Source organism: Homo sapiens, chromosome 3, assembly GCF_000001405.40.
Source record: "Homo sapiens chromosome 3, GRCh38.p14 Primary Assembly".
NCBI lineage: Eukaryota > Metazoa > Chordata > Mammalia > Primates > Hominidae > Homo > Homo sapiens.
The window spans coordinates 188616185-188630424 of NC_000003.12; the positions used below are offsets into that span (position 1 = coordinate 188616185).

The 14240-nt window shown below is 36.2% G+C and overlaps 1 protein-coding gene and 1 long non-coding RNA gene across 53 annotated transcripts in view; one reads left to right on the forward strand and one right to left on the reverse strand.

Moving 5' to 3' along the window:
- LPP (LIM domain containing preferred translocation partner in lipoma) overlaps positions 1-14240 on the forward strand; it is a 737651-nt gene that overhangs the window by 463164 nt on the left and 260247 nt on the right. The window lies entirely within an intron of this gene.
- Positions 1-14240, reverse strand: part of LOC124906316 (uncharacterized) — a 40949-nt gene that overhangs the window by 10829 nt on the left and 15880 nt on the right. The window contains exon 3 of the long non-coding RNA XR_007096213.1: positions 1981-2128. This is a non-coding gene — a long non-coding RNA (uncharacterized LOC124906316). The remainder of the gene's footprint in view (positions 1-1980; positions 2129-14240) is intronic.

Consider the following 14240-nt stretch of genomic DNA (forward strand, 5'->3'; position numbering starts at 1 on the left):
GGTTTTCTCCTAGGGTTTTTATGCTTGCTTTTGGGTTTTACATTTAAGTATTTAATCCATCTTGAGTTAATTTTTGTATAAGGTGTAAGGAAGTAGTCCAGTTTTAGTTTTCTGCATACAGCTAGCCAGTTTTTCTAGCACCATTTATTGAGTAGGAAATCCTTTCCCCATTGCTTGTTTTTGTCAGGTTTGTCGAAGATCAGATGGTTGTAGATGTGTGGTGTAATTTCTGAGGTCTCTGTTCTGTTTCATTGGTCTATATGTCTGTTTCAATACCAGTACCATGTTGTTTTGGTTACTGTAGCCTTGTAGTATAGTTTGAAGTCAGGTAGCATGATGCCTCCAGCTTTGTTCTTTTTGCTTGGGATTGCCTTGTCTGTACAGGCTCTTTTTCATTTCTATGGGTTTTTTTTCATTTCCGTATACGTTTTAGCATCAGTTTGTTGTTGTCCACAAAATAGGCTGCTATGATTTGGAGATTACCTTGAATCTTTAGATCAATTTGAAAAGAGCCGATACGTTAACAATACTGGGTTTTTCAATCCATGAAGATGGCCTATCTCTTAATTTATGTATGTCTTCTCTAATTTCTCTCATCTACATATCATAGTTTTGCATATATTTTGGTAAACTTGTCCTTAAGCACTTCAAATATTGGATGCTATTGTAAATGGTATTTTAAAATTTGTTTATAATCATTTGTTATTAGCATATAGAAATAGCAATAGATTTTTATATACTCCCTTTGTATCCTATAACTTGTTAAATGTAATAGTTGTACTAGCTTCTTTAATAAGACTTCTTAGGCAATTCTACCTGATCATTTTATCTGAAAATTGTTGATGCAATTGTTTATTTCCTTTATGGATAAGCCTATTCATCAACATTTTATGTTTGAAAGATTTGCTTGCTGATTGAAAAAGAAACAGCGTGATACAACTTTAAAGGAAATAAGTTGGAAAAAATAAGAACCTTTCCTCTCCACTTCCATAGGCTAGCCTACGTAAACCATCAGACATAGAAGCGATTTTCAGAATCATAAGTCTTAACCCCTTACATTTACAGATGAGAAAACTGAGGCCTGAAGAGTTACAGTGACTTTCAGAGTTATGTGGTTAGTAAATGACCTCATGTGAATGCAAAATGTAACTCTTCTATTCTGCAGTTCTTCTCTATATTGGTTAAGGATAGTTCAAGACAGAGGAGGTCAGAAGTAAGTGACCTTTAAAAGGTGTAATAATAACTATTGTCAGGATGATCTTATTTCCTATCTTTAGAACCCCATCATCAGTTTTGTAAGGCCACTGAATAATAGAAAATGGTTCCGATTCTGGTGCTCCCTATTCTGTCTCACAGCTGCTCCTGTGAAAACACTCGTTCATGGGCTCTGTGTAATTTTGACTCAGTCCATAATCTCTCTATCCTGATTTTAAAAGTTATCATCAGAATGGATGTGCTGGTATACTAAGAAATGTCTGTGAATATTATTTATTTATTTTACTTATCTAATCATTTTCATAGATTTGGTTGTTTAAAAATACCCCAGGTCTCAAATCCCTTTGGAAAGTTCAGCAAATCATTTTAACAGGTAATTCTGGCAATATGTAATTCTTTGTGTTTACAGAGTGAGAGAAATTCTATTTATCAGTGTTTTTTCTTTGTTTTGTTTTACTTCAGTTCTAAGCAAAGCAGTTATTTTGCTTATTGACATATTGATATATTCCTTTGGGAATCTCATTTCTTTCTTGGCCAGCTACAAACACTCATACTGTCCAATTTCAACAAGAGACTATGGTTATTCTCTTCTTCACCAAACAAAGAAATTTGAACCATTATTGATAAATAATTTCTGGTGAATATTAAAGCTTTGAAATGTTTTGCACACACAGTGTTAGGAAGTGTCTTAGAGTGAAAGACACTATTTTTACTACTATAGTATCAAAAGTGCCATTGTCCCACATACAAAGATTTACTTGTTACCTTAGTTCTTTGATTTTTCTGGAGTACAGCAACCCCAACTTTTAGAAGTACTCTTAACAAATGATACAGTGTTTGATCTGTTTCATCTTTGGACTTCAGAGAATGATCTTCAAATAATACAGTTTGGTTTATTTCAGAAGGTTGCTTCCTTAAAACAAAATTTTGAAAATATGAGATAATAACATTTAACTTCTTTTTCAATCACTTATAAAATTTACGAAACACTCTCATATAAGAAAAACTCTGTAAGTTGTTCAGAGGCAACTTCTTTAGTATCCTACCAATACTGAATACCTAAGGGAGGGTAAGAACTGACGTCGCCTCACTGCCAGCCCAGTGTTCTTTCCACTCTGTGAAACTTGCCTCCATTTGTAGCTGTCTGTGTTTGTATATATTAGCTCTATTTTGTGTAGAGTTGTCCAAACATAAAATATTCCTTTGGCGCAGAGTTTAGAGACTAAAACTTCTGAGTAGTATTTCCGGGACATAACATATATTTAACATTATTTGAAACCCAAGATTCAGTCAACATTGCTATTAAGAGTTAAGGAGCTGAAACTGTGCATACCCTAAGTCTGAATTCAAGGTAAGAGGTCCCTTGTTATTCAGTCTTTATAAGTGTTTGGTATATTTATGCCTCCTCAAATATGACACCATCTTTTTTTAAATTCACATTTAAAGATGATTGTAAAACAAGAAGGATAAGGTGTAAGTGTGGTAGTTGTTTTATTTATGGATTTATCAGTTAGCTGTTACTTATTTTTTGTGGTTCATAATGCAATTTTAACATAAGTCTGAATAAGTTTACTATAGATGATATTAGTAGGTTTTACCAGAGGAAACCATGCTTTTTTATTTTATTTTTTTCTTTTTCTTTGAGACAGAGTGTCACTCTTGTCGCCCAGGCTGGAGTGCAGTGGTGCAATCTGGGCTCACTGCAACCTCTGCCTCCCGGGTTCAAGTGATTCTCCTGCCTCAGCCTCCCAAGTAGCTGGGATTACAGGCATCTGCCACCAGGCCCAGCTAATTTTTGTATTTTTGGTAGAGACGGGGTTTTACCATGTTGGCTAGGTTGGTCTCAAACTCCTGACCTCAGGTGATCCACTCACCTTGGCCTCCCAAAGTGTTGGGATTACAGGTGTGAGCCACCACGCCTGGACAGAAACCATGCTTTATAATCCTGCTACCCACCCCATCCAAAGCACACAAAATATTAGTTAAGTAAGCTACTAGAAGACAACTGAGGCTGGTGGTCTCTGCAGGGGCAGAAAAATGGGAACTGGAGAGGAGTTCAGGAAGGCAGCCCAGAGAATATGAAGCAGGACCCAGCACACAACAGCCTGTGGGCCACATGTCACTTGCCACCTGATTTTGTAAATAATGTTTGCTTGAAATACAGCCATACTCGCTTCATTCCATATTATCAATGGCTGCTCTCACACTATAACAGCAGAGCTGAGAAGATGCAACAGAGACCGTATGGCCTACAGATATTAAAACATTTTCTGTATATCATTTTACAGAAAAACATTGTTGACTGCTGGTCAAAAATATGGGAAGAACGTCATGAAATTTAGATTCTTATTAAAAGTTCTTGAACATCCCTGAACTATTTAATATTATTTCTTGTCCAGCAGATCCTGAATCTTAAATTAGAAGTTGTGACAGTAAGTGGAAATTTTCAGGGAAGGAAGAACAGAATATCAAAATCAAAAATTAACATGCTATGTGCAGAGTAGGTTCTATATCCCTCCTTTTTTTCCCACCCTGGTAAACTCTTATTTAAACTTCAAGATCTGTCTCTAATATTAACTTCTTGGAGAAGTTTGACCATTCTTCCAGTTCCCACATATTATTAGCTTATCTTTCCTCTGATTTTTTCTCATAGCATTTTTTCATTCATTTACTAAAATATGCACTAAAATATGCACCTCATTCAGTATTTTTATATAATAACATTTTAAGATAATTTGCATACAGTATAATTCGCCCATTTAAATTAAATGGCGATTAAATTAATTTAATTTAACACAATTAAATTATTTTTAGTATATTCACAGTATATTTTACTGTATTCTTAAATATAGTATATGTGCAATCATTATCACAATCAATTTCTTTACACCAGGAAGAAATCCTCTACCAATGAGCAGTGACTTTTCTTTTTCCCCAAACCCTCTAAGTCTAGGTAACCATGAATTTAATATCTGTATCTACAGATTTAACAATTTTGGACATTTGGAATAATACTATATATAGTCTTTTGTTACTGGATTCTTAGTATAATATTTTCAATTTCCATTCATGTTGTAGCATATGTGATTGCTGTATTCCTTTTTATTGCTGAATAATATTCCATTGTATGAATACATCACATTATATTTATATTTTCATCAATTGATGAACATTTGAGGTTTTTCTATCTTTTGGCTATTATAAATAATGCTTCTATCAATATTTGAGTAGACATATGTTTTCAGTTTTCTTGGGTATACACCTAAAAGTGGGATTGCTGAGTCACATGGTAATTTAATGTTCAACATTTTGAGGAACTGCTGAAATGCTTTCCAATGGGGCTACCCCATTTTCCATTCCCACCAGCAGGGTATGAGGATCTCATTTTCTCTGCAACCTCCCACCGCATTTGATTTTATTCATATTATGTGTCTATCTCTCAAATACAAATCCATGTTCTTCAAGAGTGGAAACCATGTCTGTTTCAGTTTTGTTTCTGTATGCCTAATATAGTACATTGCATGTATCAGGCACTCATGAATAAATGAAAGAGTCAACCAACAAGTGAAATAACACCTACTGAATTGACATGGAACCACATAGAGTTCCTATTATCAAGAGTTGTTGGGTTGATGGGTGCAGAAAACCACCATGGCATGTGTATACCTGTGTTAAGAAACCTGCACATTCTGCACGTGTACCCCAGAACTTAAATTTTTTGAAAAAAGCAATTTTATTCCAAAAAAAAAAAGAGTCGTTTATGTGGGCTTAAATAGCTGTGCTTTTATAAATGTTCTTTTTTTTAATTTCAGCTTTTATTTTAGATACAGGGGATACGTGTGTGGGATTACTACATGGGTAATTGGACCCAGGTGGTAAGCATAGTATCCAATAGGTAATTTTTCAGACTGTGCCCTCTCCCTTCCTCCCCGTCTGGTAGTCTGTGGTGTCTGTTATTCTCAAGTTTATGTCCATGTGTGCTCAGTGTTTAGCTCCCACTCATAAGTGAGAATATGTGGTATTTGGCTTTCTGTCCCTGCATCAATTTGCTTAGGATTATGGCCTCTAGCTCCATCTATGTTGCTGCAAAGGACATGATTTCATGATTTTTTTTGACTGCACAGTATTTCATAGTTTATATGTACCACATTTTTTTAAATCTAGTCTACCATTTCCAGCTATGTTCTTCATCTTTCTACCATTCACATCCTAGTGCGTGTAACCGATAAATTAGTATTCATTTAGATGGACTCCATTTTATTTTATTTTATTTTATTTTGAGATGGGGTCTCATTCTGTCGCCCAGGCTGGATTGCAGTGGTGCAGTCTTGGCTTACTATAACCTCCGCCTCTGGGTTCAAGTGATTCTCCTGCCTCAGCCTCCTGAGTAGCTGGGATTACAGGCATGCACCACCACGCCCAGCTACTTTTTGTATGTTTAGTAGAGATGGGGTTTCGCATTGTTAGCCAGGCTGGTCTCAAACTCCTGACCTCAGGTGATCCACCCACTCTGGCCACCCGAAGTGCTGGGATTACAGGCTGGGATTACACCACTATTTTTTAATGGCATTTTAGCAGTTAAAAACTGAATGCTCTAAAAGTCAGGGATGGCATGGGCACAGGTGAAAGATGAAAGTTTTGTCTATTTCTATTTCTATGATGAAATCAGTTGGGTTAACAAGAGCATTCTTCTAAGCAGCTAGAGATTCTGTTGGTCTCATCCAGCCATCACCCAGATGGCAATACAACCAGTAAAAGGCAGATAATGGTATCTGTTTTTGCAGACTTTATGTTCACACCAGTGTCACTCATCTTAACCTGGACTCTTGTCATCAGCTTGATATTTCCTCACTTTCCTCTTTCTCCCCTTTTCAAGTTATAGCTGTGCCTTGACATGACTTACCCAATACTCTGTATTCTCTTCGTGTTCATTAATAGGCTCATTTTCCAGAACTAACATTGGGGCATTTCAAGGACTTTTTACGTAGCACATGAGCTGCTTACAACGTAATTCTGTCTAGTTGGGACATATGTCATTTAGCCAGATTGTTTATGGCATTACCACAGCCAAGCATATATTAGTTTCATAGTAATTTCTAGGGAAAAAAATGTGGAGGAAATATGTGGTTTTTGTTATACTTGCAATGTTACTATATTACTGCTTTTTTTTAAGTTTTGATTTCAATAAATACCTAGCATATATTTTCAGATGCCAAAGGACATACAATGATGAACAAAAACTCAGCTCGTCCTCAAAATCGATATGTATTATTGGTGATGCTGGACTCCACCCACTCATAGATGTTTCTCATTATTGTGAAACATTACTTTTTGGAAAAAGAGAGCTGGGCCAGGCACAGTGGCTCACACCTGTAATCCCAGCACTTTGGGAGACCGAGGCAGGCAGATCATGAGGTCAGGAGTTCGATACCAGCCTGACCAACATGGTGAAACCCTGTCTCTACTAAAAATACAAAAATTAGCCAGGCGTGGTGGCGCATGCCTGTAATTCCAGCTACTCAGGAGGCTGAGGCAGGGGAATCGCTCGAACCTGAGAGGTGGAGGCTGCAGTAAGCCCAGATCACACCACTGCACTCCAGCCTGGGTGACAGAGAGAGACTCCATCTTAAAAAAAAAAAAAAAAAAAAGAGAGAGCTAACATCTTCACTTTTTAAGGAAATAGACATTGCCCCCATGATTGTATGGATGACTAGATCATTTAAAACAAAAATTACATAAGGGCTTAAAGAGTGGCTCTTAAGTGTAAATGCTAGGAAGCACCCAATTAGTTATTATTTCCTGTATGTGTTGCCTTCATGGACATTGGTTCATATAGCCTCAAAAAGTCTATGAAGATACTTTTTTTTTTTTTTTTTGAAAGAGAGCGTCACTCTATCTCCCAGGCTAGGGTGCAGTGGCACAATCTCAGCTCACTTCAACCTCCGCCTCCCAGGTTCAGGTGATTCTCCCGCCTCAGCCTCCAGAGTAGGTGGGATTACAAGCATGCGCCACCATAATCAGCTAATTTTTGTATTTTTAATAGAGACAGGGTTTCACTATGTTGGCCAGGCAGGTCTCGAACTCCTAACCTCAAGTGGCCCACCCGCCTTGGCCCCCCAAAGTCCTGGGATTACAGGCATGAGCCACCGTGCCCGGCTGAAGATACTATAAACATCTTGATTTTTTACTGAGTCAGAAACTGAGAAAGGGAAAAAATTATTTGCTGAAGACTGCATGCCTCAAGTTTATACCCATTATACTACACTGCCTGCTTGCGAAAGTATGTTTTAAAAAATTGTCACTGCTGTGCAGCAACTCAAATTGTCACTGCTGTGCAGCAACTCAACTTTAAGTCTTAAACCTAGTTATCTTTTATCTTGAGCAGGACATATATGTTAAGCTGCTGAGGATGCTCCTTAACATGAGGCCATTGGGCGGGTGTGTGCCAGACAATCCTCCTAGTTGTTTCTCTAATACAGAGCTTCAGGTCGTCTCTTCCTTTTTCATCTTCTAGCCTGCCCTGGCCAAGTACCTATGAATCAACCGGCAAGGCGAGGGGTGTATTTGGTGGGCTATAGAGTGGAATTAAGCAGAATATCAAAAATTTTAGCCAATAACATTGAACCTCAAAGAGGAAAGTACTGCTGAGTTCTGATAGATGCAAGACAAGCTAAAGACCTCCTTAGCTCCATTGTTCTGCATCAGCACAATATGTCCTAGTGAGAAGGAAAGACATAGCAAAACTAAAAATGACCTGTTTTTCAAGAGCAATGTCTTTTCACCCAAACTTGTGAACTGCTTGCCAAAAGTCAGGACTAACATTGTTTTGTACATTTGCATTAAAAGAAATTATATCACCGTTGAAGAGCTGATCAGAGAAAGGGTATAGGAAAAAGGAAATGTTAAAATAAGCTGTAAAATCCAGCCCATTTATATCTGGAGTTTAGAGGCAGTCTAACAAAATGAATGTTCCATTTACTAATCACATTTGCCATTTATTCAAAACAAACACGGCTTGAGAGAGGATTAAATAAACATCCAAAAACTGTCGTTCTTGAAACCTTTGGATAGAACATTGAGTTGCATTCCTGCAGGAGAAATGCCAAGTGAGTGAGCCTAGTCCAAGTTTGTTTAGAAAGCCATATTTGGGAGAACCATGGAAGTGCGAACCTGATCATGTGAAAAGCCCAGGACTGTTCAGCCTTCTGTGGCAGTTCTGTGAGTTCTAGTACCAGACTATTAATAGGGAGTCAAGTAGAAATATCCTTCCTTCCCCTCCCTCCCTCCTTCCCTTCCCTTCCTTCCTTTTCCCTTTCCCTTTCCCTTTCCCTTTCCCTTTCCCTTCCCTTCCCTTCTCCTTCTCCTTCTCCTTCCTTCCTTTTCCTTCCTTCCTTCCTTCCTTCCTTCCTTCTCTCTCTTTCTCTCTTCTTTGGTGTGCTGAGAATAATCTGCAGACAGTGACTCTACAGATAAGATTGCAAATATTTTCCCTTCCTTCATTCCTTCCTTCTTTCCTCCCTTCCTTCCTTCTTTCCTTCTTCCTTTTTTTTCTTTTTTAACCACATGATTTCTATTTCCTTTAGCAAGATGTTATCATGTGAGGGAAGTCTTAGGTTTCTATATCCCTTTATTCTTAGTGTTAGCATTTCTTATTAAAGACAGATGTCTAGTTTTCTATTTTAAGGGTTATCTAATTTCAGTCATAAAAATGTCCTATAAATTAAGACATAACTTTGTCAATACTCTTCTAGAACATAATAGCTACCCCAAAATATTTGTTCAATGATGGGAAATTCATTGATATTTAGACCTTCAGAGATGAAATAAATATGTTGCCTTTGCTTTTCAAAGATGCCATCTTGCCCATTCATAAGAAAACTAAGACCCACAGAATGACTACCCAAGGCCTCACAGTATAATTAGGACTTTAACAAAAATCCATAAAACCTCTGGTATTGGGATATTTAAGATAATACATTGATATATACTTTATCACTGTCTTTGATAAAATAACAGTAAAACCATTTTAATGGGACACATTTTTATAACCATTGTGAATTTGGTCCTCAAAAAAGAACTCACTGAGATGATGAGATAATGCATATTCATCCTCTTTTACAGATGATGAAACATTTCGGAGAAGGCAAGTCAGTTTTCCAATTTTTCATACTATATAGATCATTGAATCTTTGTCCCTTATATACAGAATCAACAATATGAAATATGTGGAACTTGAAATCATAGTTTCCAACTTTTCTGCCTATAGAATGCCCATTTCCAGTTGCTTAACATTTAGATTGATAAACATGAAATTCATTAAACAGGAAACTGAATAAGAGACCTGGACTAATATTTAGGTATTACTTAGTATTCCATCCAAGAAGTGTCTGCAGACAGTGACTCCATAGATGATAAGGTTGCACATATTTCAGAAGCCAAATAAATGTTGTGATTAAATGATTCAAGTCTGTTAACCATTTGGTAGTTATGATGTAAATGGCTGTTAAATGGAAAGCATTTGTAAAAATGTATGTGCAAAAATAAAGGATTTCTAACAAACCGAATGGGCCTTACCTATTTTAGTTAATACTCTCAATAATGAGCAGTGAGATTAATTTATAAGTATGTGTGTGTGTGTGTTAAGATATATTCACATTTTATGAAACCTGAAGCTTTGAAGCTTATCACTGTGGAAATAACTTCTGTATGCATAAAAGTATTATATTATTTCGGTAGGACTGCTATAACAAAATACAGTCAGGCCTTCATATTCAAGTAGGCTGCATTCAGAATTCAACCAACTGCCAATGGAAAGTGTTTGTAAAAAATAACAAGTAACAATAAAATATTAGAAAATACTACAAATTTCAAAATACAATATAACAAGTATTTACCTAGCATTTACATTGTATTGGGTATTTTAACTAATCTAGAGATGATTTAAACTATGTAAGAGGATATGTGTAGGTTACGTGTATAGCATATCATATATATAAGGGATTTGAGCATCCATAGAGTTTGGCATCTGCATGGAGTCCTAGAACTGATCCCCTGCAGATATGAAGGGACAACTGTACCACAAACTGAGTGACATAAACTACAGATTTTTTTTTCCTCACAATTCTAGAGGCTAGAAGTCTGAGATCAAGGTACTCACAAGGTTGCTTTCCTCTAAGAGCTTTCTCCTTGGATAAAAATGGCCACCTTCTCTCTGTGTCCTCACATGGTCTTTCCTCTGCTTCTCTGTGTCCTAGTCCCTCTTTTTATAAGGACAACTCCAGTCGTATTGGATTAAGGTCCACCCTAGTGCTCTCATTTTAACTTAATGGCCTCTTTAAAGGCCCTTTCTCCAAATACAGTCACAATCTGATATACTAGGGGTTAGGACTTCAACATATTAATTTGAAGGGAGACATGACTCAGCTCATAACAATTATGTAGGCAAATGAACATTTATTTTAAATGACAGAGGAAATGCAACATGTTATAAATTAATAAAAGCTATGAAATACCTCAAAAATCACATTAATAAAAGCTATGAAATACCTCAAAAATCACAAAAATCTTGAAAAATAACACTCTTATGAATTAAATTCCTGATTACTTTTTCTTACATTTTTAGCAGCATATTCATTGATTAACTAACTGTACAACCTAATTTCATAATATTTTCTGCAGAGAGAATACAAAGATAATTTCATGCTGAGAGTTTATTACTACCAGTCCTGCCTTACAACAGGTCCTTAAGGGAATGATAAGCATGAAAGACTGTTACCTACTTCTACAAGGACACCTTTAAGTACATAGCCTGCTAACACTATAAAGCAACTATACTATCAAGTCTACATAAGAACCAGGTAACAACATGATGGCAAGATCAAATGCTTATATATCAGTATTAATCTTGAATTTATGTGGGCTAAATGCCCCACTTAAAGGACACCGAGTGTCAAATTGGATGAAGGAGCAAGGCCCAACTCTATGCTGTTTTCCAGAGTCCCATCTCACATGCAGTGACACCTTTAGGCTCAGAATAAAGGGATGGAGAAAGCTCTATCAAGCAAATGGAAAACAAAATAAAGCAGAGGTTGCTATTCTATTTCAGAAAAAACAGACTGTAAACCAACAATGATTCAAAAGGACAAAAAAAGGGCATTACATAATGATAAAGGGTTCAATTCAACAAGAAGACTTAACAGTTCTAAGTATGTATGCACCCAATAAGGGAGCACCCAGATTTATAAAACAGGTTATTAGAGAACTACAATAGTGGGAGACTTGAACACTCCACTGACATTTCTAGAGAGATCACTAAAGCAGAAAACCAACAAAGATATTTGGGACCCAACACTTGACCAAATGGACCTATGAGACATCTACAGAATATTTCACCCAACAACAACAGAATAAACATTCTTCTCATCTGCACATGACACATACTCTAAGATTGACTACACACCCATTCATAAAGCAATTCTCAAAGAATTCAAAATAACTGACATCATACCAACCACATTCTCAGACCACAGTGCAATAAAAATATAAATCAATACTAAGATCTCTCAAAACCATGCAATTACATGGAAATTAAACAACTTGTTCCTGAATGACTTTTGAGTAAAGAATGAAATTAAGGCAGAAATAAAAAAAATCCTTTGAAACTAATGAAAACAGATACAACATACCAGAGAACACAGCTAAAGCAGTATTAAGAAAAATGTTTGTAGAGACAAACACCTACATCTGTAAGTTAGAAAAATCTCAACAACCTAACATCACACCTAGAGGAACTAGAAAAACAAGACCAAACTAATTCCAAAGTTGATAGAAGAAAATAAATAGTTAAAATCAGAGCTGAACTGAACAAAATTCTGATATGAAAACCATACAAAAGATCACTAAAACCAAAAGCTGTTTTTTTTTGCAAGAATAAATAAGATTGTCAGACTACTAGCTAGATTAATAAAGAACAAACAAAGAGAACCAAATAAACACACTCTGAAATGACAAAGGGTACATTACCACCAACCCCACAGCAATACAAAAAACCCTCAGCGACTCTTATGAACAGCACTGCAGACATACATTAGAAAACCTAGAAGAAATGAATAAATTCCTGGAAACATAAAACCTCACAAGATTGAAGCAGGAAGACATTAAAATCCTGAATAGACCAATAATGAGTTCCAAAATTGAATCAGTTATAAAAAACCTACCAACCAGTAAAAGTTCTGGATAGACCAGATGGATTCCCAGCTGAATTCTACCAGATGTAATAAGACTTGCTGGTACCAATCGTACTAAATAGCTTCCAAAAATCGAGGAGGAGGGACTCCTCCCTCAATCATTCTATAACGCCAGCATCATTCTGATACCAAAACCTGACAGAGATAGAACAACCAAAAGTGAAAACTTCAGGCCAATATCCTTGATGAACATAGACACAAAAATCTTCAACAAAATACTAGCAAATTGAATCCAGCAGCACATCAAAGAGCTAATTCAACCCAATCAAATAGGCTTTAGCCATAGGTTGCAAAATTGGTTCACCATACACAAATCAATGAATGTGATTCATCACATAAAAGAACTAAAGACAAAAAACCACATGGTCATCTCAACAGATGCAAAAAAGGGTTTTGGTAAAATTCAACATCGCTTCATGTTAAAAACCCTCAACAACTTGAAATTGAAGGAACATACTTCAAAATAATAAGAACCATCTATGTCAAACCCTCAGCCTGCATCATACTGAACAGGAAAAGCTGGAAGCACTCCCCTTGAGAACTGGAACAAGACAAGGATGCCCACTTCCACCACTCCTATTCAACATAGTACTGGAAATTCTAGAGCTCCAAATAGAAAGAGAGAAAGTCAAACTATTTCTGTTTGCAGATGATGTCATTGTATACCTAGAAAACCCCATAGACTCTGCCTAAAAGCTCCTTGATCTGATAAACAACTTCAGCAAAGTTCTAGACAGAAAATCAGTGCACAAAAATCAGTTGCCTTTCTATATACCAATAATGTCCAAACTGAGACCCAAATCAGGAACACAATCCCATTCACAGTAGCCACAGAAAGAATAAGATACCTAGGAATACAGCTAACCAGGGAGGTGAAAGATCTCTATAATGAGAATTATAAAACACAGCTGAAATAAATCAGAGATGAAACAAATATATGGAAAATCATTTCATGTTCATAGATAGGAAAAAAATCAATATTGTTAAAATTTGGGGCAGTCATACTGGCCGAAGCAATTTATAGATTCAGTGATATTCCTGTCAAACTACCAATATTATCTTTCACAGAATTAGAAAAAAAAAATATTGTAAAATTCATATGGAACCACAAAGAGCCCAAATAGGCAAAACAATGCTAAGCAGAAAGGACAAAGCCAGAGTCATCACAGTACCTGACTTCAAATTAAACTGCAAGACTGCAGTAACTAAAACTTCATGGTACTGGGACAAAAACAGACACATAAACCAATGAAAGAAGCTAGAGAAACCTAGTAATCATGCTGCACACCTACAACCATTGATAGTCAACATTTGTCAACTCAAGATGGATTAAAAGACTTAAACGTAAGACCTAAATCTATAAAAATCTTAGAAGAAAACCTAGGAAATTATATTCTAGAAATACTATTCTAGGCCTTGGCAAAAATTTCATATGAGGTCTCCGAAAGCAATTGCAACAAAAACAAAAATTGACAAGTGAGACCTAATTAAAGAGCTTCTGCAGCACAGCAAAACAAACTATCAACAGAGTAAACAGACAGCCTATAGAAAGAGAGAAAATATTTGCAAACTATGCATCTGACAGAAGTCTGATATTGAGAATCTATATGGAACTCAAACAAATCAGCAAGCAAAAAGCATCCCCATTTAAAAATGGGCAAAGGACATGAACAGACATTTCTAAAAGATGTGCAATTAACCAACAAGCATATGAAAAAATGCTCAACATCAGTAATCATTAGACAAATGCAAATCAAAAACACAATGAGATTCCTTCTG